Raw genomic sequence first — 24,651 nt, 5'->3', positions numbered from 1 at the left:
CGTCACTGACCTCGTCGGGTTCACTTCCGGCGCTCGCACCGCCCCGCTCTCCAGCCAAGGCTCCGGGCTGAGGCATTTGCTTGGCTGCAGCCTCCTTCCGACCTGCCCGGCGGGACCCAGGGGACCAAGCCGAGCCGAGCCGCGGGGCCCGCTCCAGCCCGGCCATGAGCGCGGCCGCATGATGCGTCCCTGCCTCGGCCGCTGCAGTCGCCGCCGCCGCCGCCGCAGGCCGGGAGGAGCCGCAGCGCCGGGCGACCCCGCCCGGGCCTCGGGTGAGTGCGGCGGGCTGGGCCGGGCGGGCTGCTCACTCCCGGGTCTCCCGGCCACTTCTGGCCCCCGGCGTGCCCTGTCCTTCCGTCGGTTCCGCCGCTCTGTCTCCACCCCGCCGCACACCTGCGACCTTCTGGAGTTCCTAGGGGCACCTCCGTGCCCGCACCTGACTTCCCTTCCAGGTGCCCCCTTGTCATTCCTTAGTTGCTCTCTCGGGATAGGGCCCGGATTGCAGCCCCAGCTTTTTGCCTGACCTTGGGCGTGACACTCAGCTCTCCGAGCCCTGGTTTTCTGTGTGGCTAATGACGGGGTGGTGGTTACAGAGCAGCTATAAACCCTGTGTAAGCTGTAAAGAGTTTTTTAATAGGCAGGTATTACAATGAGCAGTCTCGCACTTCGCGTTGTGGCTTCTCTTCCTCTTAAGCTGTAAACTTTTCTCTTTTATTCTCTGCCCATCTTCCTAGTTATCTTCCCTCCTGCTCCACGTCAGTCATCTTTGGGTGTTAGTTGCCTGAAAGGGCATCTGGGACAGTAAAGCTTTCAGGGCAGTAAGGCTCACCTCTCCTGGTGTGGTTCCTTCTACAACTTTGTCACACTCAGTTAGATAGACACACTTTATTAGCTTATGAAGAACCAGTTTATTGTGGCCGTTAAATTGGAGTGTAAGAGACAGTGTTGATGCGGCTACCTGCCTTGTAGCTTCTTTTACTGTCTGGGCTGTATACAGTGCTGGGCAAATCGCTGCTACAGTGTTGCATTTTCAGTCTGCTTAGTGTATGCACTTAAGCGCACGTATTTATCTATTTTACTGTTACTATCCCAAGGGGTTTAGAGATTTAGGTCAATGTGTATTAATATTTCTTTCTGAACTCTTCATCTCACAGATGAAGAATCTCTTTTTTGTTATGTTTTACAGTGTTTACATACCTGAAATCACCTTTTAGTCACTTTGTGGCCTGGTACGCACGCGGTGGCTCGTGGCTCATGCCTGTAATCCCAGCGCTTTGGGAGGCTGAGGCAGGAGGATCACTTGAGCCCAGGAGTTGGAGAGCAGCCTGGGCAACATAGTGAGATCCCCTTCTCTACAAAAAAATTAAAAAATTAGCCGGATATGGTGGTACACGCCTGAGGTCTCAGCTGCTTGGGAGGCTGAGGTGGGGGGATCACTTGAGTTTGAGATCATGCCACAGCACTGCAGCCTGGGCAACAGAGTGAGATCCCCATCTCAAAAAAAAAAAAAAAGTCACTTTGTTAAATTCGCTTGTTAAAAGTCAGAACTTGGCCAGGCACAGTGGCTCATGCCTGTGATCCCAGCACTTTGGGAGGCCGAGGCGGGCGGATCACGAAGTCGGGAGATCGAGACCATCCTGGCTAACACGGTGAAACCCCATGTCTACTAAAAATACCAAAAATTAGCTGGGCATGGTGGTGGGCGCCTGTAGTCCCAGCTACTCGGGAGGCTAAGGCAAGAGAATCACGTGAACCCGGGAGGCGGAGCTTGCAGTGAGCCAAGATCGCGCCACTGCACTCCAGTCTGGGCGACAGAGCAAGACTCCGTCTCAAAAAAAAAAAAAAAAAGAAAAAAAGTCAGAACTTGGTTAAAGTGAAAGGCTCTTGGGATATTTGAAATATGGAATGGAACTGAAATATTAACTAAATTGCAATTCTTGAACATTCTGGAAAATAGGTTAGGGGCCCACATTGGCTTCTGATTTGAGAGTTGAAGGAGAAGAAGACTATTTGAAAAGGTAATTCCCAAAGGATTCGCTAAGTAACAATGGGAACTCTTCTGCTACCATTGGCTCAGAGCCTGCCTCAGTTGACAGATTAATGAATTGAAACTTTACAGCCCTGCTAATCAATGAACTGTAAAAACAAATCCTCTTCAAGAACAGAAGAGTATTAGCATGAATAGAATGGCCCTCTCAGTGAGAAAGAAAGCACTGAAATGAACTTTATATAAGAACAATCTTGATTCAGTCAAAAGTATGAACGTACTTTTACATTCTTACTGAAACTTACCTGCTGGCTTGGATGCTTTGTTGATATAAATAATACAATCTTTGTTAAATTAACAAAGAAAATGGGTGTAGAAATAAGTTCATGTAGAAAGTTAATGTTTGGGATGAACATTGAATAGTTTTCGTGATTGGACAACTATACAAGATAATTTTACTAAAGCAGCTTTTTGGGGTATGTTTCTGTAATATTTTAACTTTAGAAGTACTTTTTTTTTTTTTTTGAGACGGAGTTTCGCTCTTGTTGCCCAGGCTGGAGTGCAGTGGCTCGATCTTGGCTCCCTGCAGCCTCTACCTCCTGGGTTAAAGCGATTCTCCTGCCTCAGCCTCCCGAGTAGCTGGGATTACAGGCCTGAGCCACCGTGGCTGGCTAATTTTGTATTTTTAGTAGAGACAGGATTTCTCCATGTTGGTCAGGCTGGTCTCCAACTCCTGACCTCTGGTGATCCGCCTGCCTCAGCCTCCCAGAATGGTGGGATTACAGGCGTGAGCCACTGTGCCTGACCCTTTTTTTTTTTCTTCAAACCCTAGAGCAGAACATAAAGTCAAAACTGTCATTTTCACTGAAATATCTTATTCCCAAAGTTAGTCTCCAGGGTCAGTGTTAACAACTTGCTGTGTGACCCTTCGGTTGTAACATCTGAGAAGAGTTTAGCTGGACTGTGCCAGTTAGCTAGCTATAAAGTTGAGTGGGAATAGTGCCAGTCCACACAGGACTGCCCTCACTTGTGATACCAACTGCAAGTTGGCTTTTTTTTGGGGGGGGGTGTAGGTGGTGGTTCCCAAAACCACCCTTGGGTGGAGTCCAGGGAAGTACCAGATGGGGAAGCACCAAAGGCACGATTGTCCTCTCCCTGTGGACTCAGAACACGTTACTTTTTTGGCATTGATGTGTGACAGTATGCATGGAGTATTGCCAGCCTGGGAAGCTCACCTGAGTCTTTGTAGTCAGTTTTTATTGAGGCCCCATTATGCAGGCATGATTGATTGATTGATTGATTGCCCACATGGTTGATATTAGTTCCCAGATAGACTGATACCCTGTGACGAAGAGCTCCCCCCTCACCCTACATCATATTGTTAGCTGAGGACAAAGGGCAGACCTCTTTTTGGGTAAGATTAAATAAGGTTAAATTGTTTTTTGTTTGTTTGCTTTGAGAGGGTCTTGCTCTTTTGCCCAGGCTGGAGTGCGGTGGCACAATCATGGCTCACTACAGCCTTGATCTCCTGGGCTCAAGTGGTTTCTTCTACCTCAGCCTCCTGGTTAACAGGGACCACAGGTGTACGCCACCCTGTCCGGCTTATTTTTTGTAGAGATAGGGTCTCACTATGATACCCAGGCTGGTCTGAAACCCCTGGGCCCAAGCAATCCACCTGCCTTGGCCGCCCGGAGGCATGTTATACTGTGCCTGGCCTGGTTAAATTATTTACTACATATCCTACTTCTTTCCTGGTCCCTTCCTACTTGAAAATCCTGTATACTACTGTGCTTTGCCATTGACAAATGACTGTCCCTTCTAGAACATGGAGGAGACACAGGCCACAGGGAGAGCTCTCAACCTTAGTTCCCTTTTAACTAAAATGTCTTCGAATATCCATCAGTCATTTTCTTCTGCTTTGCCTCTGAGGAAGAGACAGTCCCTCCTTCCTGATGTTAACGCTTGTGTCTGCTTTGGTCTGCTTGTTATGGGACTGTGAATTATCATTTACTATCTCTTGCCTTTTTGATTGTTTTTTCCATTTGCTGGTTTCTTCACTTCTATTTACAAACATATCCTTGTCTTAGTAATCTTGGCCCTGCTTGCTTCTGAGTTCCATTCCATTCCATTCTTTTTTTTTTTTTTTTTGAGATGGAGTATCGCTCTGTTGCCCAGGCTGGAGTGCGGTGGCGTGGTCTCGGCTCACTGCAACCTCCGCCTCCCAGGTTCAAGCGGTTCTCCTGCCTCAGCCTCCCGAGTAGCTGGGATTACAGGCACCCACCATCATGCCCGGCTAATTTTTGTATTTTTGTAGAGACGGGTTTTTACCATGTTGGCCAGGCTGATCTTGAACTCCTGACCTCAGGTGATCCACCTGCCTTGGCCTCCCAAAGTGCTGGGATTACAGGCATGAGCCACCTTGCCCAGCCTCCATTCCATTCTTGAAAAACTTTTCAGTAGAATCCTATTAATCCTCTAATCAAACCCAGACTCCATATGGGGCCCAGACAATGCCTTATTTTGGTTCAGCATCTTACGGTTTTGAAAACACCGTGTTCTTCTACGGTGTCTTATAGGTAGTGGGTGCTTGAAAACTGTTTGGTGAATGAATAATTTGGCAAGGCAGAGAAAGAATTCTAATTGGAGGAAACAGGAGCAAAACCACAGAGCTATGAAAGGCGAGGTAAGGGGAATCCAAAGGAGCACCATATGGAAGAGAGTGGGGAATGTTGAGCCTGGAAAGGTTGGGAGAGCCAGAAGGTTTCGCAACAGGTTGATTTTGTGACCTGTGCTGTGGTTTTGTTTTATTTAATTTTTTATTATTACTATTTTTGAGACGGTGTTATTCTGTCACCTAGGCTGGAGTGCAGTAGCATGATCTCAACTTACTGCAGCCTCAACCTCCTGGGCTGAAGCGATCCTCCCACCTTAGCCTCCTGAGTAGCTGGGGCTACAGGTGCATGCCACTGAAACTGGCTCCTTTTTTTTTAAATTACAGAAATGGGGTCAGGCCGGTTGCTCAGGCCTGTCTTGAACTCCATGTTGCTCAGGCTGGTCTTGAACTCCTGAGATCAAATGATCTGCCCACCTCAGCCTCCTAAAGTGCCGGGATTACAGGTAGACCGGTGCCACTGCACCTGGCCCTATATATTATTTTAAAATTATTTAATTTTATTTTTCAAGGAATTTTTATTTAGGTTTTTAATTTTTTTGAGACAGGGTCTCTCTCTGTTACTCAGGCTGGAGTACAGTGATGCAGTCATAGCTCACTGCAGCCTTGAACGCCTGGGCTCAAGTAATCCTCCTGCCTCAGCCTCTCGAGTAGCTGGGACTACAGCTGTGTACCACTGCGCCCAGCTAATTAAAAAATTTTTTTTGTAGAGATAGGGTCTCGCTATGTTGCCCAGGCTGGTCTTTTAACTCAAGTGTTCCTCCTGCCTTTGCCTCTCAAAGCACTGGGATTACAAGTGTGAGCCGCCACCTCTGGCCTGTGCTGTGATTTTGAACGGTGATTCCTGCAGCCATGTGGAGAGTCATTGGAATCTAGTGACCCTTGAAGTTAGCGTTCTGCAGAGGTACAGGCTAGAGATGAGGGCTGCCTAAATTTGGGTTGTGGGAAAGGTGAGAAGGATCAGAGCTGTAAGTGGGAAGTGTCGTCATACATGTAGGAATGGAGGAATTTTGTGTCCAGAGGCTAAAAGGTGGTGAATCAATCCTGGTTGCATGAGGAATGTCACTGATTTGGAAAAAGACGCTAGCTCTATGTTAAGCTGGTGGTTTGGTTCACCGGGAAACACTGCCGTTCATTTGCAGCACTGCGTGAGGAGGGGCAGTCAGCTAGAGAGGCTTCCAGTCTCATTGGAGACCAGCTTTTAGAGTTCACTGAAATGTTTTGAATTCTTAGATTCCATATTTCCAACATTCAATTTATTCATTACAGAATGCACTTTCTTAAACTGAGTGCTCTGGAAGCCAGTGTATTTTAGTGGAAGAACACGGGCTTTGGAATCAAAACAGTTCTGACTCCACCCTAACTGGCTGTGGATCTGAGCAAGGCACTTAGCCTCTAAGACTCAATTTTGTCATCCTGAAAATGAGCTCGTGATACGCCTGGCTTTTAGGGTGGTGGTCACGTGTGTAAATCTCCTGACAAACAGAGTAGATGCTCAGTAAATAGCCTTTCTTCTCACCTTCAAATGTTTTATGTTGTCATTAACTTGTAATTGAGGGCTAAATGTATTGTTAGCATGTCATATTTTCTTAGTATTTTGAACTCTGGTTAATCTGGCATTATAAAAGCTCATTTTGTATTAAACAGGGAAACTCTAGGAAGACAGGGAAGGAGGTTGGGAATACCAGCCTGATTGAGGCTCTGCTCTTCCCTGGGACAGGATGCTTAATGAGGTTTGGAACTCTAGAGTTCTTTTTATTTCTGGATTTAGATTTCTTGAGGGTTTAGTTACCATGCTGGGATTTTTAAAAATAGCTGCTCCATTTGACTGTCAAAGTTAGGTTGTGGCTCTCGTACAGGGATGAAAGGGGAACCTTTGGGGTACGAGTAAGCATTCCTTGGAGGCCACCTCATCTGGCCTGCGTGCTCTAGTGAGGTCCCGCGCACATGTTTTCTGGACCTGAAGTTGTGACTTGCCTACAGGTGGGGTTTTTCTCTTCACCCCCGTCTCCCTCTTTCTCTATAACCCTTGTGCATTTCTCTTCTACTCCTTTTCTGCCAGGCTCCTTTGGGCCTCTGGCCCACTCCCCTGGCAGATCTTATCACACGCCCCTGTCGTTTGCCTGTGGACTTCCTTTCTACTTTTTCTTGTCTCCCTCAAGCACCCTCCTTCCCTTACTTATTCACTCAAGAAATGTTTGTGGAGTGCGTGGTGAACCCGGGAGTGCTGGGGATACTATGAGTAACATTCCATTGAGGTGATGGCAGAACAAGCAGCCAGGGAGAGGCTGCTAGGAAGGGAGGCCAGCAGGCTCCAGATGGAGTGGGGCTTTCTAGGCCATGGTGGTGGGGTGGAGTGGGGGGTGGGGTGGGATTTTATTCGCACTGAAAAGGCAGTGATTGCATGAGCTTAGGGAGGGGAGTGACATGATCTGATTTACGTCTGTGGAAGACCACTCTGGGTGCTGCATGGGGGACTGGACTGTTGGGTGAGCAGAGGCATGAGAGTAGAGAGAGGACTGGTCAGCAGGTGATCTAAGCACTCCCCAGGTGAGAGCTCATGGGACCTTGGTCTGGGCGGGTGAGGAGGTGGGAGAAGTGGTCGGATTTGGGGTAGGTTTAGAGGTGCACCCCATAGGACTTGCTGATCAGCTAGATGTGGAGAGGTGGGGAATGAGATACATGAAGGGCGGGGCCTTTTTTTTTGGGTGTGGTGTGCCGTTGATTGAGATGGGAAAGAGTGGGGTCGTGACTGAGTGGGGGAGGTTCTGCTTTGACCCTCCTGCCCTGGAGTTGTTAAGTGGCCAGTTGGATAGACGCCCTTAGGGATGCATCGTCAGCCTGAGAGTTTTCCAGATATCTTTTTTTGTTTAAACTTCGTGAAACTGAGGTTCCCCATTAGCTCCTTTGTGGAGAGCATGTAGATGAAGGGAAGGCCGAGGACTAAGCCCGGGTGCTCCCGGCGTTTACATGGGTGGAGGAGAAGTATCCAGTCAGAGACCGGGTGTGGCTAGGGGGAAGGGAAGTCAGTGTTGTCCCCCAGGCCCCTCACTCCTGAGACTGGTGTTCCCTCTCCCACTTCCACGGTTCATTGTGTGCTGTGTGTGTTCCCCCACTTTGCCATGTTTTTGATCTGCAGTGTTCTGATCCTACTGTAGAGTGATTAAGTATTTTAATATGAAATGCCCTTCTAGAAAGGTCAGGCAATGTCACTATTCACCGTATGACTTACGTGCCAGCATATCATTGAGATCTGGCTTGAGTTGGGTTAATATTCTGGTGTGGATTTTTTTTTTCCTTAAAAGTAATATTCTGATCTTTGGATTCAGTAATTTGAGTAGAAAATCATGGTTTCTTAGAGCATCATTTCCTATGGTAGGATTTGAAAGGACAAACTGAATATTTCATGATTGCCAGTTGATGGCAAGAGCACTTAGGAGCGCAGTCGCCATCAGCTCACTGCAGTGGGTCAGCTGAGTGCTGCGCTCCTTTTGTGAGTTGAGGGAGGACGTGAGCTCCCTCTGTAGCCTTCCCCACCTTGACTCAGGTTCCCTGACTCATCCGGGCTGGTGGCATACCTGGGATGTGGCCCCGTTTGCACGGCCCATAGGAACCACTGCCTCCGGATCTTACAGCGCCCCCCTGGACCCAGCCTCAGTCCTGCCCCTCACTTCCTCTGAGTCTGTTTCTCAGGCTCCTCGGGCCCTCAGTGCCCTGAGTTTCGGTCACTTGGCTTACCAGGCCTCTCCTCCTGCCCCCTGGACTCTGAGGTTGGCCTCTCCCGCTTGCATCTTGGTCTTGCCTTCGTTACTCTGCTTTTCTAGCCCATCATCCTGGCTAATCTCCAGCCCTGGGTAAGTTTATGGTGCTGGGCTGGGCTTTTGGATAAAAGGACCAGCCATTCCCATCCTCTATGAGACACTTAAGGTGTCAGCATTGTCTGGGCCCTGCAGGGTGACAGTTCAGGCCCCTCTTGGCCGCCGCCTCTCCACCCCATTTCCATTTTGCGGTCTCCATAGGCCCTCCCAGCGCCGCAGCCCCGCTCCTCCTCTCTGCTGAGACACTCAGCACTCGTCTTCCTGAGTGAACTGCTTTCACTTCTCTTCATGCCCGGGTTTCCCCTTTCTTCCTCCAGGGAGGAAGGATCATTCCGCTTTGTCGACCATCCCCCCACTCCACCCACGCTTTCTCCTATCGATAAAATTCACACTTGATTCAGATTTCCTCAGCTTTTCCTTAATGTCCTTTCTCTGTCCCAGGATCCCACCCAGGATCACACAGGACATGAGTGGGCACATCTCGTCAGCCCCTCTTGGCTGTGGTGCTTTCTCAGGCGTTCCTTGTTTGGATGACTGGCACTTGGGAGCAGTGCTGTGGGTCAGGGATTTTTTTGTAGGATGCTCTTCTCTTGGGACTTGTTTGATATTTTCCTTATGACTAGACTTGGGTGATGCAGTTAGAGGGCCTGTCTCGCCACAGCCTGTCAAGGCTGTGTTCTGTCCACAGGACTCATTGCTATGGATGTGGCCTTGAACACCTGGCTGACTGAGGTGGTGTTTGCCAAGTTTCTCCTCAGTAAAGTTATTTTCCTCCTTTCCGTACTCCACTCGTTAGAAACTGTCCCTGTGAACGGCCATACTTGAGGGGTGGGGAGCAGCGTCCTCCCTGCTGGAGGAGGAGGAGCCACAGGCATTCCTCGGACTCGTGGCGCTGGGTATTTGTCTATTTTCTGTTTATTCAGCCACTGCTTTATATCAGTCTGGACTCGTGCATGTTTACTTGATGCTTCGGGTTATAAAGCAATACTATTTTATTTTCCTGGAAAAAGCTTTGGCCATTGGGAGCTCTTTTACTTGGTTCCTATATCCCTTTCATGAGCCCACCTGTCCCCATGATTGTGTGTGTGTATTGTGAACACTTCATTATTCTCTGGCAATACAAGATGCTCCAAGCTCATCTTGTATATATATTTATTTTTTTTGCCTCAGTCCTGGTTCCTTTTATTTATTAGAGAATGGTATTAAAAACCAAGATCTGTGGTGGCTCACACCTATAATCCCAGCACTTTGGCCGACATGGGAAGATCGCTTGAGTCCAGGAATTCAAGAGCAGCCTGGGCAACTAGCAAGATCCCATCTTGAATATTAAACAACAACAACAAACCAAGATCTGGGAATTAGGTGTGCTGGTGGCTGTTGGTGTGTTGCTTCTAGGCCGTCTCAGCTGACAGAGCAAGTAAATATATGTGTGGATGCTAACCCATGTGTGTATACATATCTGTAGATATTTCCATATGCAACTGCTTGTATCTTCCTTAAACCAAAAACTTAGGTCATTCTAGCTTCCTCCTCTTGCTTACCTGGAAACTTCCACCCCAACAGTGAGAAGCCTGGCTCTTGCCATCCATTTACTTAATTTTTTTTTTTTTTGAGACAGGGTCTTGCTCTCTTGCCCAGGCTGGAGTGCAGTGGTGCGATCTTGGCCCACTGCAACCTCAGCCTCCAGGGTTCAAGTGATTTTCCTGCCTCAGCTGCCCAAGTAGCTAGGATTACAGGTACTGGCCACCATGCCTGGCTAATTTTTGTATTTTTAGTAGAGACGGGGTTTCGCCGTGTTGGCTAGGCTGGTCTTGAACTCCTGACCTCAAGTGATCCACCCACCTTGGCCTCCCAAAGTGCTGGGATTACGGGCATGAGGCACCGCGCCCGGCCCCAGTTATCTTTTAAACCATCTGGTTTACCTAAGGTCTGGTGCCTCCCATTCCAGCAGAGTGAAGTCTAGAGTTCCAGGTTTCTTAGCGTGGCATTCAGGCTGTGGTTCCATTGGACCTCAGGCTTGTCCTTCTGGTCACATTCCCCTCTGGAATGCTGAATTCCCTTCTGTGCTGTGTCACATGATTGTCCTCTCTTGTCCATGTCTTTCTGGTCTGCTGGGGCCCACCCATGCTGTCTGTTGTCTTTATTGACACTTTCTCTGGTTCTTCCAGAAGTAGCTGTTTTCATTTCTCTCCCTGATCACACTTTGCTGCTAACTTGGGGAAAGCACTTTGCACATTGGATCCTCACCTCGCTGCTGTGTGCGCTCTGCTCCTGTGGCTCAGGCTGTCTTTGGCTGCACATCCTTGAGGCCTTGCACAGAGTACGTGCTTGGATGCTCACCCCCCAACTCCCCAGCCTGATGTTTGAATTGAGTGGACTGTTCATGGCAGGGGTTGAGTTTGTTTTGTAACCTTCTGTCCTAAAACAGGTTTGCTTAATTCCGTTTTTTATGGGGCTGAAGTGGGTGTATGAACAGTAAAGCAACGACAAGTTTAAATAGTATTTTAATATAAACATGGATACCAGACTCTAGGGTGGACATTCTTAGCAGTGCAGTGGTAAAAATAATTATGTCTTGGTTCTTTTCTGTAGTCACTGATCACCAGAGAATACTGGTATCTTTTGTTTACTTGTTTTCAGTGTGTTCCTGAGAAATACATTTTCTGTTTATAGCCAAGGAAAAAAGTAAAGGCGAAGAGCTTAAGACACTTGCTTGAAGTTACAGATACAAGTAAATCCAAGACAGGGTCTGGACTCAGGAACGCGGGTTATCCAGGAAGAAAAGTGACTCCACTGCTCGCTGGGACTTGCCTTGTGCCGCACCCTTGCACTATCACACCGGCCGTACATACCTGTGCTGGGTATTTTTTCTCCTGCTCATGTTTTTAATTGAGGCATGATTAATGTACAGTGAAATGCACAATTTTATTTTATTTTATTTTAGAGACAGGGTCTTGCTTGTTGCCCAGGCTGGAGTGCAGTGGCACAAACACAGCTCACTGCAGCCTCGACCTCCGAGACTCAAGCGATCCTCCTGCCTCAGCCTCCTGAGCAGCTGGGAGTACAGGCCCTGCCCAGCCAATTTTTAAAAAATTTTTTTTGTAGAGACAGGGTCTTGCCATGTTGCCCAGATTAGTCTTGAACTCTTGGGCTTAAGTGATCCTGCCTTGGACTCCCAAAGCACTGGGATTACAGGTATGAGCCACTGTGCCCGGCCCCACAATTTAAAGTGTATAGTCTATTGGGCTTTTTTTAAACAGCGAATTGTATTTTGTTTTGACAAACGCATATGCCTGTGTCACCCACTTCCCTCTCAAGATACAGGCATGTCTGTCAACTTACAATGTTACCTTGGCCCTCTCCACAGTCACTTCTACTTGTGCTCAAATCCTTATTCTGATTTCTTTCTAAATAAACGAGTTTGCCTCATTTAGAATATCATACACATAGAATCACACTATATATTCTTCCGTGTCTGGCTTCTTTCACTTAGCATAATATTTTTGAGATTTAGCCATGTTGCTTGTATCAGTAATATTTTCCTGCTTTTTTGCTCAGAAGTATGCCATTATATGAATACACCAATGTTTGTTATCTATTTCCTGTTGACGGGTTTGGGTTGTTTTCAGTTTGGGGGTATTATGAACAAAGCTGCTGTGAACAGTATCGGACAAGTTTTTGTGTTCATATTTATATTTATTTTTCTTGGGTAAATACCTGGAAGTGGAATCTCTGAGTCACAGGGTAGGTATTTGTTTAACTTTGAGAAAGTGCCAGACTGCTTTCCAAAGTGGTTACTTTTTAAAATTTATAAAATTAATTGGAGATTTGATCTCATTGTAGAAAATCTGGTGTAGACCTGATGCTTGCGATTCACAGTCCTGAATTTTGCAAACCAGTTTCCGATTTTAAGACATTGCTAAGATAAGCTCATTGGAAAACAGTTCAAAATATTACTAAGCATTTCAAGTTTCTGGCTGGTGCATAGATGTTTGAATAAAGTTACTATATATAAATGCTGCATTTAGGCTGGGCACGGTGGCTCACGCCTCTAATCCCAGCACTTTGGGAGGCTGAGGCGGGCGGATCACCTGAGGTCAGGAGTTCGAGACCAGCCTGGCTAACATGGTGAAACCCTGTTTCTACTAAAAATACAAAAAATTAGCTGGGAGTGGTGGCGTGCACCTGTAATCCCAGCTACTCGGGAGGCTGAGGCAAGAGAATTGCTTGAACCCCAGAGGCGGAAGTTGCGGTGAGCCGAGATCGCGCCACTGCACTCCAGCCTGGGCAAAGGAGTGAGACTCCATCTCAAAAAAAAAAAAAAAAAAAAAAGGTTCAGAAGGGATTGAGAGCTGGAGCTCTGTTGGGGAACCAGTGCTGTGTCAGTGTTTGTCTAGGGCCTGGGCAGAAGCTTGAGGGAAAAGCGACCCCTGAGGGATCTTGCAGTCGGTGTGATGGGCACAGGGACCTCCACAGAGCGGGCCCAGGTGGAGGCTTGGCACACTAGGGCGGGAGACAGCGAGCCATCTCGGGTTATCGGGAGGCACCCCAGAATATGTTTTCAGAAACTAGTCAGGGCTCTTGGTTTCAGACAACAGACAGTAGCTGGGGGTTGACTCAGGCAGAAAAAGCACTGTCGTGGAAGCATCTCAGCTACAGATGGAGTGGAGGAGCCAGGCAGCCGGCGCCGAAGCCAGAGCCGAAACCTACCACAAGGAGATCTGCTTGCGCCCTTTTCTCCCAGGGACCCCTGTGCTCAACCTCTGTTGTTTGGAAGGTGGACCTCCTGACCCGATCTTCTAATTTTTTTTTTTTTTTTTGAGACAGTCTCGCTCTGTCACCCAGGCTGGAGTGCAGTGGTGCGATCTCGGCTCACTGCAAACTCCGCCTCCCGGGTTCGCGCCGTTCTCCTGTCTCAGCCTCCCGAGTAGCTGGGACTGCAGGCGCCCGCCACCACGCCCGGCTAATTTTTTTTTATTTTTAGTAGAGACGGGGTTTCACCGTGTTAGTAGCTAGGTTGGTCTCGATCTCCTGATCTCGTGATCCGCCCGCCTCGGCCTCCCAAAGTACTGGGATTACAGACCCGATCTTCTAATTTTATTTTACATTCTCTTCTCAGTGTTTTCTCTCTGTCTTCTAGTTCTCCTCTCTGGGACATTTCTATTTTTTTTTTTTTTTTTTTTTTTAGACGGAGTCTCGCTCTGTCGCCCAGGCTGGATGGAGTGCAGTGGCGCCATCTCGGCCCACTGCAAGCTCCGCATCCCGGGTTCATGCCATTCTCCTGCCTCAGCCTCCCGAGTAGCTGGGACTACAGGCGCCCACCACCACGCCTAGCTAATTTTTGTATTTTTAGTAGAGACGGGGTTTCACTGTTTTAGCCAGGATGGTCTCGATCTCCTGACCTTGTGATCCGCCCACCTCAGCCTCCCAAAGTGCTGGGGTTACAGGCGTGAGCCACTGTGCCTGGCCCATTTCTACTCTTTTGTCCAATTCTGTTTAAGAATATTTAGAGGCCGGGTGCGCTGTCTCACACCTTTAATCCCAGCACTTTGGGAGGCCGAGGCGGGCGGATCACGAGGTCAGGAGATCGAGACCATTCTGGATAACATGGTGAAACCACGTCTCTACTAAAAATACAAAAGATAATTAGCTGGGTGTGGTGGTGGGCGCCTGTAGTCCCAGCTACTCAGGAGGCTGAGGCAGGAGAATGGCGTGAACCCGGGAGGTGGAGTTTGCAGTGAGCCGAGACTGCGCCACTGCACTCCAGCCTGGGCGACAGAGCAAGACTCCATCTCAAAAAAAAAAAAAAAAAAAGGAAAATTTAGAATCTATAGACTGTTGTATTTTCGTTGTAGAATAACCAGGAAGTTCTTAAACTGTTCCTCTTTTTGTTTCACAGAACCAATCTCTTCTCTTATTTTGAAGAATATGAATTTTACCTATGCCTTGTTGACATTTTCTTCTCTGTGCATTGTGCGTGTTCTGGACTCTTACCCTTCATTTCTGTTTTGTGCTCTTTCATGAATCGTGTTTGGATTTAATTTTTTTTTTTTTTTGAGACAGAGTCTTGCTCTGTCGCCCAGGCTGGAGTGCAGTGGTGCCATCTTGGCTTACTGCAACCTCCGCCTCGTGGGTTCAAGCAGTTCTCTGCCACAGCCTCCCGAGTAGCTGGGATTACAAGCGCCCACCACCACGTCCAGCTAATTTTTGTATTTTTAGTAGCGACGGGGTTTCACCATCTTGGCCAGGCTGGTCTTGAACTTCTGACCTCATGATCCACCCGCCTCAGCCTCCCAAAGTGCTGGGATTACAGGCGTGAGCCACCGCGCCTGGCCTGGACTTTCTTTTTTTATAATGGAGCTACGACAAGCACTTGGAACCTCTGTGTCCGTGGCGGGGGTTTCCCTGTGGCCCCTGACTTAGGGAGGTCTGACAGTGAATCTGACCTTCTTGTTGGGTTTTCCCTACATCGCAGAGTCTTTAGACCTTTTTCTTGGGTCATGTTAGTGCCAGAGAGGATTCCTCGACCCTCCCATCTGTCAGGGTTCGGGGAGCTACGTGGGAGATGCGTGCCAGGAGTCTCTGCTCTCATTGAGTGGCCCTCACTGGGTTCCACTGTCTTCCTTCACCTCCTCGCCCCTCCCACAGCAGGGCCTGCCATTCTAGTCCACCCCTCCTGCCTCAAGTGCTCTGTCTCTCTGTTCTGTGATTCCTTTAATGTGGCCAGTAAATCAGCTTATCGACGGTAGAAGTGCAGGCTACCCAGATTTGGTCTGCCCTAGGGGATTTTTCTGGAGGGATTTTAGCTTATAGATCTGTATTTAACACTGGGGCTAAAAGAGCAGGAGGGTAAATGGAAATATTTAAAATAAATTACTTGATTTCCAGGATTGTGAATTTACCTAGTAATCAAAACTTAGAAGAGCAATGATTTCATACTTAAGGATAGTTCTGAGTGACAGAACTTGATGCGTCAAATGTTACGCTCCAAAAATTAATCATACCCTAAGAAATATGACACACGTCTGTCATAAAATAAATCACTTTTTCTAATCAGATTTTATTACCTTTCAGATCCGATCACATAGGACAGTATGCACCTTAAGATCCTGAAGAAACGGCACAAAATGTTCAAGTGATGTTTAGAAATAACTTGTGAGGTAAGAGTGTGATTATTTAGGGTCCAATCACTGTTTCCTTTCTCACAGCTGACACTAGCTTGTATATTACTAAAAAGGTAACCTGTGCATGTGGCAAAGCAGAGGCGTGGTGCCAAGCTGACAGGCACGCCTTCCTTTTCACCCGCTGCCTTCCGGTCCTAAAAGGAGGGTGTATCTGTGGAGGGGACTCCATGAATTGAATTGATGAGTTCTTGGCCAGTATCACAAGATGAGGGGAATACCCCGCTTTCCACCTGAAATGGAAAGTGGTTTGGTTTTTTTTGTCTGTTTTTTTTGAGATGGAGTCTCAGTCTGTTGCCTAGGCTAGAGTGCAATGGCGTGATCTTGGCTCTCTGCGACCTCTGTCTCCCAGGTTCAAGTGATTCTTCTGCCTCAGCCTCCCTAGTAGCTGGGATTACAGGCACCCGCCATCATGCCCGGCTAATTTTTATATTTTTGGTAGAGACGGGGTTTCACCATGTTGGCCAGGCTGGTCTTGAACTCCTGACCACAAGTGATCCACTCGCCTTGGCCTCCCAAAGTGCTGGGATTACAGGCGTGAGCCACTGTGCCCGGCCTGAAACGGAAAGTTTTTGCTTGTGTGGTTGTCCCTTTAAATATGGAGATTTGTAGTGTTGCTTTTGGTGTTCTGGGAAACAGGGCTTTATTTAACATGCCGAGAAAGAGCTTAGGTTCGGGAGTGTTGAGAAAATCCCATTAAATCGGCCATTAGGGTAGAAGAGTGATGCTGGGGCATCTGTGTGAGAGTGCCCAGTGTTTCACGGTTCCCTCAGAAACTGTCTTGAGTATGAAGTCAACGGTGGTTTTGGAATTCAGTGCAGAATAAGGCTGTGCCCTTGCTCCTAAGGAATGTGTACATTTTAATACCGCATCTCAAATGGCTGTGCTGTTTGCTTTTAGATTAGCTTCCATGTAAAGGAATGGTTTCTTCATTTCTTCCCCTCCCTTCCTGTTGCATTACTCAAGTGTAAATACAGTGACTCAGAGACACGAGTGAGTGCACTGTGTTACTGAGAGCTGTATTTGTCCAGCCTAACTTTGCTATATTCGTTTGTTGCTTTGTTGAAAATAAAGCAGTTTTTGGATTTCATGTTATTTTCCTGTTGACTTCTAATGGATCTTACAGATATGGCACTAAAGCCCTCAAGTATGATATGTCACCCTAATATGTGCTTATAGGAACGTCCTGCCATGGCCAGTGTTTGGTGTCTGTGGGCGCTCTCCTTACACAGCTGTGCCTGCCATCCGCACCCCCAGGTCAGGCATGGAGCCACAGCAGCATCCTGCACTCCGTGGAGGTCTTACCAGGACCTGAACCAGGAAGGCGGAGCTGAGCTGGCTCAGGTGTCACATGTGTGCCTTTAGAAGACTTTCAAGAGGCCCTGCTTTCTGGAGAGAGCTCAGACTGCCCAAACATTGTGCTCTGACAAAAGTATAGCTTGTTTTACTGCCTGGAAAGCACCCTTCCTTTTCTCATGGAACGTGTCCTATTAGAGAAGTCACCATAAAGCAAAATGGTTCTGCTCAGAGGAATTTTTCAGCTTACGGCCTTGATGTACCTGGGCCCACAGATAACGATTCACCAAGAAACTTAGATGGAAATCAGCAGGAGGTGATTGGAATCTGAGAGAGGGACTGCTTGCTTTTTGTTGCATCTGCCTTTTAGCAAACATGCCCTTGCTGTGCGCCAGACAGCATGCAAGGCATGAGGGGGACAGGGCAGGAGGAGACCCAGACCCCCCTGGAGGGGCTGACATCAGGCCGGGAGGTCGGACCTGCAAGAGCTCTCAGGTAGCAAGTGGTAAGTACCTGGGAGGGAGAGCTGGTGAGCGTGCCCAGGGCTTCAGCGGAGGCAGAGAAACTTCCAGGTACTTTCTCAGCCCCCTGACAGTCAGGCTTTACTAGTAGTGCAGGCAGAAGCAGTTTCAGCCTTTATCTCCGGATAGTCACATCTGATGTCTAGAGACCTCTTCGCAAAGTGCTCCTCAGAAGAAGAGAACTCCCTTTTCAGGTTGGCTTGCCTAGAAGAGAGAAAAGTTAGGCCCTGCAGGGTGAATGAGGTTTATGTAGAGGCAATGGTGCTGCAAAGGTGTTTGCAGGGGATGTTGAGCAGACAGATGCAGAAGATGTAGGTTCAGAAAATGCTGAAGGAATGGTTGGCTAAGGGGTCTGTCCAAATTCTTTTGATCTTTAGTTTTTTCTATTTCACTCAAATGATTATTTTTAAAAGTTTTTTTAATTAAAACAATTTTTTTGACATTGGGTCTTACTTACTCTGTTGCCCAGGCTGGACTGCAGTGGTGGGATTGTGGCTCACTGTAGCCTCAACCTGCCAGTCTCATGCGATCCTTCCACGTCAGTCCCCCAAACAGCTGGGACTATAGGTGTGTGCCACCATGCCTGACTATAAAAAAAAAAAACAATTTTGTTTTGTAGAGATTGGGTCTTCCCATGTTGCGCAGGCCAGTCTCAAACTCCTGGGCTCAAGAGATCCTCCCACCTTGGCCTCCTAAAGTGCTGAGATTACAGGTGTAAGCCACCACACTCAGCCTTAAGCATGTATTTATTTATTTTTATTTTTTGAGACAGGATCTCTCTGTCATCCAGGCTGGAGCGCGGTGGCATGATCATGGCTCACTGCAGCCTCCACCTCCCAGGCTCAAGCAATCTTCCCCCCTCAGCCTCCCTAGTAGGGGGGACTATAAGCGCAAGCCACCATGCCTGGTTAATTTTTATTTTCTGTAGAGATGAGGTCTTACTCTGTTGCCCAGGCTGATCTCAAACTTCTGGGCTCAAATGATCCTTCTGCCTCAGTCTCCCAAGTGCTGACTTGAGCCACTGCACCCAGCCTTAAACATTTTTTAAAGCTGCTTTTATCTGATTGAAAAATAGGGCTATTTTACTGACTTTGGAAAACAATTTCATTTTGCTCTTGTACCAGTCAGCATTTTTGCATCGAGAGGAAATTTTTTAAAGTATTTGGCGAATGAATCCTCACCACATGTTCATTCGGCAAATGTTTTCATAATTGCTATGTTCCAGTTGCATTTAAGAAAAGAAAAAGTCACACCCAGATTTGAAAAACAGCACCCAGTGCTGTTACTCAGTTGTAGTGACCTGACCTCTGAGAACATTCTTACTACACTCCTTTATTCACATTTCAGAAGCCATGGTTTCTGCACTCTGCCTGCTTAAAATATGAGGAGCGCTCCTGCTCTGAGAAGGTGCCCGGGTCAGTTCGTTAAAATATTTGTCAGTATTTTCTCCTCATGGCAAAGCTAGGTGAAATTGACTGTCTCTTCCTTTCCCTGGCTCTTTATCTGTGATATTACAACTCTCAGAGCAAACACCGATAAGAGAAGGGCGTACAATCAAAGAAGCAGTCAAAACAGTTACCAGGAAAAGTGCACTTTTTTCTTTTTGTTTCTGGAGAGGGAGTGTCACTCTGTCACTAGGCTGGAGTGCCGTGGTACGATCTCGGCTCACTGCAACCTCCACCCCCCGGGTTCAAGCAGTTCTCCTGCCTCAGCCTCCTGAGTAGCTGGGATTACAGGTACAGGCGCCTGCCACTGTGCCCGACTAATTTTTATATTTTTAGTAGAGACGGGTTTCACCAGCTTGGCCAGGCTGGTCTTGAACTTGTAACCTCGTGATCCACCGGCCTCTGCCTCTGAAAGCGCTGGGGTTACAGGTATGAGCCACCCGCACCTGACCCACTTTTTTCTTTTCTTTTCTTTTTTTTTTTGAGACTGAGTCCAGTGCAGTGGCGTGATCTCAGCTCACTGCAACCTCCGCCTCCCAGGTTCAAGTGATTCTCCTGCCTCAGCCTCCCGAGTAGCTGGGATTACAGGCGCACGCCACCATGCCCGGCTGGTTTTTGTATTTTTAGTAGAGACGGGGTTTCACCATGTTGACCAGGCTGGTCTCAAACTCCTGACCTCCCAAAGTGCTGGGATTACAGGCATGAGCCACTGTGCCCGGTCCTACTTTTTTCTTTAGTTTCTTTAGATCTTGTATGTTCTTAGAAATCAGATGCTATTGGAAATAGGGAAGAAGTGTCAAAATGATGGCTTGCAAAAGAATGGATTAATAAATGAAGGAAAGGCTGGGCATGGTGGCTCTACCTGTAATCCCAGCACTTTGGGAGGCTGAGGCAGGAGGATTGAGCCCAGGAGTTCCAGAGCAGCCCAGGCAACATAGTCAGACCTCATCTGTGAGCTGTGATTGTGCCACTGCACTCCAGCTTGGGCAACAAAGGGAGACTGTGTTCCCAAAACAACAAAAACAGGAAACTTTTAAAAGATTAAAATAGAGGCCGGGTGCAGTGGCTCATGCCTGTAATCCCAGCACTTTGGGAGGCCGAGGCAGATGGATCACCTGAGGTCAGGAGTTTGAGACCAGCCTGGCCAACATGGTGAAACTCCATCTCTACTAAAAATACAAAAAAATTAGCTAGGTGTGGTGGTGGGCGCCTGTAATCCCAGCTACTCGGGAGGCTGAGGCAGGAGAATCACTTGAACCTGGGAGACGGAGGTTGCAGTGAGCCAAGATCGCACCACTGCACTCCAGCCGGGCAACAGAGTGAGACTTGGTTTCAAAAAAAAGATTAAAATAGAGATGAAGGGCATTCTAGAAGCAGGGTAGAGTGTCAAGGAACAGAGATATAAAAATGGGAGTCTGCTCCAAAAACATCACAGATAAGCGAGGATAAACTGAGAATCAAATTGAGGAAAATCAGGTAAGACCAATGAGGTCAGTGTGTATGAGGCGGTGTAAAGATGAATAGAGAACCAGTGACTTACTCGTCATTCTTTCATCATGCTGCTTGCTGAAGTGTGTGCCGAGCACCTGCTTGGGAGCATTTAGGTGAGCTGCTGAGCAGAGCAGGAACAGGTGGGGCTCAGGGGAGCAGGCGCAGCAGTGATACAGCAGAGCTCCTCTCCACGCTGCCGGGGAACCCAGTGCTGGGACTTCGCGTCTAGCTTGTGCTTTCCATAATCTTTGTATGTGGCCACGGCTGGCCATAGATAGGTTTTGTATATGTAGGCATAACCTGTACTGTGGGACTTACTGTGTTGTAGTAAAGCAATCAATCAAGTCAGAGATTTAAAAATTCAGATCTTAGTTATGTTTTTATGTTCTTTCCCACTATGTGTATTTAGACTAACTTCATGAAATGGCCAAGGACAAACTGTAACACATCATATTTAAGGTAGCTTGTGAGCTTTTTGAGCCTTACCAGCTCTGTGTCGTCCCCCTCCCCAGGGTGCGTCAGGGAAATCATGCAGCCATCAGGACACAGGCTCCGGGACGTCGAGCATCATCCTCTCCTGGCTGAAAATGACAACTATGACTCTTCATCGTCCTCCTCCTCCGAGGCTGACGTGGCTGACCGGGTCTGGTTCATCCGTGACGGCTGCGGCATGATCTGTGCTGTCATGACGTGGCTTCTGGTCGCCTATGCAGACTTCGTGGTGACTTTCGTCATGCTGCTGCCTTCCAAAGACTTCTGGTACTCTGTGGTCAACGGGGTCATCTTTAACTGCTTGGCCGTGCTTGCCCTGTCATCCCACCTGAGAACCATGCTCACCGACCCTGTGAGTACTGGCTGCGTCTCTGGGTGGCTCTCTTGTGTCTGGTCTAGTGTCCTCGGGTGTGGCTGACCCTTTGGAGGAAGCAGTGCACAGGGACATATTGACATGGGTGTGGAACAAGAAAGGTGGATTGAGCTCATTTTGGGAGCAGATTCCCTTTAGGCTGAGAATAAACATAGGCCAGACCTAGCGCAGTGAAATACCCCTAGTTCCTGACGCCTTGCAGGCCACCAGATTCAGCTTCCAGCTGGGCTTTCAGGCTGTTCCTGAGTTTTGAGACATCCTTCAATCAGGGAGGGGCATTCGGGCCGATCGTACAGATCTTGCAGCTCAGCCATCCGTCACCTCTAGTAAGTGAGTTCCAGGCTTCCCACAGAGCTCGGAGGAGACGCCCAGCAGCTGCAGGCATGCAAAGTCAGGTATTAGCAGTCAGTAGATTTTCATTTGAAAAAAGTTCTTTCCACTGCTTTAAAACAGTGGTTTTAAACCATGGTATAGGGACTCCCAATTTGTCAATTTAAAATCTACTGGGTTCTTGTCTGTTTCTAAGCTTTCTCTAAAGAAGGTACCCAGACGTTAATAAGATAAGGACTTTTTTTTTTTTTTTTTTTTGAGACGGAGTTTTGCTCTTTTTGCCCAGGCTGGAGTGCAATGTGCGATCTTGGCTCACTGCAACCTCTGCCTCCTGGGTTCAAGCTATTCTCCTGCCTTAGCCCTCTGAGTAGCTGGGATTACAGGCATGCACCACCATGCCTGGCTAATTTTGTATATTTAGTAGAGACAGGGTTTCACCATGTTGATCAGGCTGGTCTTGAACTCCTGACCTCAGGTGATCCACCCGCCTTGGCCTCCCAAAGTGCTGAGATTACAGGCATGAGCCATCGCGCCTGACCAGGACTCTTTTTTGAGAATAAACTGAAACGGATCAGCTCACAGAATGTGGTCTGCACGTGGCTTTATCTGTCTTTGCTTTATCTGAATTAATTATTCAGGGTTTGGATGTACATTGTTTACTGTCTCCTGTTTTACTAGTAGAGGTCATGGGCAGCTGTCCTGGGAATGGGACAGTATTATAGGCCCAACCAGAGGGCAGCTGGGGAGTGGTACCTTGGGGACAAACTTGGAAGCAAAGTCTGCCAGTGGCTTTGTAGCCTGATCTGATGGTGGAGTCTTTGACCATAACTGAGTCTCTTCGATGGGTTTGTGCCTTCAGAGAATTAAAGCCTGTCTTGTCATTTCCTTTTACGCGGCAGGTCTCCCTCTAGGAGCCAGACCCTGCTCCTGATCCCTGTGTGTCTCCGCCCTCTCCTTCCTTGGCTGCAGCAGAAACCCCTTGTTTGTTGCCCAAAGTGCCCAGGCACTTCGACAAAGGAGAGGGCCAGCTACAGGGCCAGGTCCAGCTCAGCGATTTTTACTGGAATATTGCCTTGTAGGAAAAATCCAGTGACTGCCGACCATCTGCCTGCACAGTGAAAACTGGGCTGGACCCAACCCTTGTGGGCATTTGTGGTGAGGGAACCGAGTCTGTGCAAAGCCTCCTGCTTGTGAGTGTGGGGTAGGCACATGGGGGAGGGTCAGCCTGGCTGGGAGTCCTCAGCAGTTTGCTCCTCTTTGCTGACAAGCGCACTTGCCCCTTCCTCCTCTGCGCTCAGACTCTACAGCTACTCAGCAGTCCAGCTTCTGCTCCCACCCCGCTCCTGCTCCTGCGGAAAAGGCCCCAGAAGCCTGGAGAGCTGGAGGCGGCCAGGAAGTCAGGGTAGAAGGTGTGTGCAGGGCGTGCTGCCGCCCTGGTGGGCAGATTTCTTTTGCTTGTTGTATTACTGCAGAGAATGTTGAATGGAACATACTGAGGGAGAAGTTGGAGATCTTGGATGTCAGGGGTGTTTTGATTGAGATTTAATTCACATAGCACTAAATCCATCCTCGTGTGTAGTCCCGTGGTGTTTAGTGCATCCACAGAGTGTCCAACCATCACCCAGTCGGTTTTAGGACATTTTTATCACCTCAGAAAGGAACCCCACACCCCTTAGCCATCACTTCCCAGTTCCCCGACCCCACCACCCGACGCCCTCTGCCCCTGGCAACCACTCATCTGCTGTCTCTGTGGAATTTGCATGTTCACAGACTTTTTTTTTTGAGACGGAGTCTCACTCTGTCGCCCAGGCTGGAGTGCAGTGGCGCGATCTTGGCTTACTGCAACCTCCGCCCCCAGGGGTTCATGCCATTCTCCTGCCTCAGCCTTCCGAGTAGCTGGGACTACAGGTGCCTGCCACCATGCCCGGCTAATTTTTTTGTATTTTTAGTAGAGACGGGGTTTCACCGTGTTAGCCAGGATGGTCTCGATCTCCTGACCTTATGATCTGCCCGCCTCGGCCTCCCGAAGTGCTGGGATGATTACAGGCGTGAGCCACTGCGCCTGGCCGCCTGTTGAGGGACTTTCATAGTCATCTCGTCTGTGGCCTTTTGTGCCTGGCTCTCACCAGGCATTGCGTCTTCGGGGTCCATCGTGCTGTGGCATGATCAGTGCTTCATTTGGTTTAAGGCTGAATAATATTCCATGCTCTGGCCGGACCCTTCTCACCTATAGCCATCGTTAGTTGATGGGCATCTGGGCGAGTTCTGCTTTTCGGCTGTTACAAATCATGCTGCTCTGAACGGCCGCGTGTAAGTTTTTGTGTGGATGGGTGTTTCATTCCTCTTGGGTATATACCTAGGAGTGGAGTTGCTGGGACATATGGTGACTCTGTGTTTAACCTTTTGTGGAACTGCCAAGTATTCTCTAAAGTGTCCCCACTGGGGGAAAAAAAAGAAAATGGAAAAAAAATCTTGTGGGGAAGGGAATGATGAAAAAAAAAAAACAAACCCCAAAACATCGAAGCATCCACACCATTTTACATTCCCACCTGCAGTGTGTCCACATCTTCAACACATTATTGCCATTCTTTTGTGACGCCGTATCTCACTGTCTTTGCTGTGTATCTCCCTAATGACCAACGATGTTGAGCATCATTTCATGGGCTTGTTGGCCATTTGTGTGTCTTCTTTGGAAGCATGTCTGCTTGAGTCCTCTGGTGACAAGTGACAGAAACCACCAGGAGTCACTGTAAATGAAACTGAGGAAGGGGGAGTACGCAGAGCCCCAGGGCAAGGATGCTTCTGGCTGCTGGCAGGCTGTGGAGTGGAAGGTGGACAGAGGGGAGAGGCTGGCAGCTGTCCTCAGGCTTTGTCTGTCTCTCTGAGTCCTGGCTTTCCTGCTGCCCAGGGAAGAAGGGCAGTCCTCAGAGCAGGTGGAGTGGCAGTCACTGATGTCCAGGTCTACTTTTCTGAAGGGGAGAGTGGGCATGGCCCAGCAGGGTCAGGTGTCACCTCTGTTCTCCCAGTGGGGAGTTGATTTCTTCTC

At 48.3% G+C, this 24,651-nt stretch overlaps 1 protein-coding gene across 13 annotated transcripts in view, besides 3 other annotated features; it reads left to right on the top strand.

Annotated features, from left to right (window-relative positions):
• ZDHHC7 (zDHHC palmitoyltransferase 7) overlaps window positions 1-24,651 on the top strand; it is a 53,457-nt gene that overhangs the window by 16,074 nt on the left and 12,732 nt on the right. The window contains exons 1-5 of one of the 13 annotated variants that reach the window (XM_047434357.1): window positions 23-272; window positions 15,551-15,636; window positions 20,923-21,254; window positions 22,685-22,760; window positions 22,904-23,014. In XM_047434357.1, coding sequence (XP_047290313.1) covers window positions 20,940-21,254; window positions 22,685-22,760; window positions 22,904-23,014 — 502 coding nt within the window. In that variant the 5' untranslated portion in view covers window positions 23-272; window positions 15,551-15,636; window positions 20,923-20,939. Of the gene's footprint in view, window positions 1-22; window positions 453-6,974; window positions 7,209-8,314; window positions 9,894-15,550; window positions 15,637-20,920; window positions 21,255-22,684; window positions 22,796-22,903; window positions 23,015-24,651 lie in introns of those variants that run through there. The other 12 variants (XM_011523222.3, NM_001145548.2, XM_047434350.1 and 9 more) reach the window with 12 other exon arrangements.
• Window positions 101-400: a silencer, noted in NCBI's record as "silent region_7796". NCBI's record gives its function as "represses an Ori minimal core promoter by ATAC-STARR-seq in GM12878 lymphoblastoid cells {active_cell/tissue: GM12878}" and the evidence as "EXISTENCE:reporter gene assay evidence [ECO:0000049][PMID:35858748]".
• Window positions 6,205-6,955: an enhancer, noted in NCBI's record as "H3K27ac-H3K4me1 hESC enhancer chr16:85038209-85038959 (GRCh37/hg19 assembly coordinates)". NCBI's record gives its function as "activates a minimal SCP1, AML or CMV promoter by ChIP-STARR-seq in naive H9 embryonic stem cells {active_cell/tissue: H9 hESC(naive)}" and the evidence as "EXISTENCE:reporter gene assay evidence [ECO:0000049][PMID:30033119]".
• Window positions 16,437-16,937: an enhancer, noted in NCBI's record as "H3K4me1 hESC enhancer chr16:85028227-85028727 (GRCh37/hg19 assembly coordinates)". NCBI's record gives its function as "activates a minimal SCP1, AML or CMV promoter by ChIP-STARR-seq in naive and primed H9 embryonic stem cells {active_cell/tissue: H9 hESC(naive and primed)}" and the evidence as "EXISTENCE:reporter gene assay evidence [ECO:0000049][PMID:30033119]".

The sequence above is a fragment of the Homo sapiens genome, chromosome 16 (assembly GCF_000001405.40).
Source record: "Homo sapiens chromosome 16, GRCh38.p14 Primary Assembly".
Classification (NCBI taxonomy): domain Eukaryota; kingdom Metazoa; phylum Chordata; class Mammalia; order Primates; family Hominidae; genus Homo; species Homo sapiens.
This window is presented reverse-complemented; position numbering and strand designations above follow the sequence as displayed.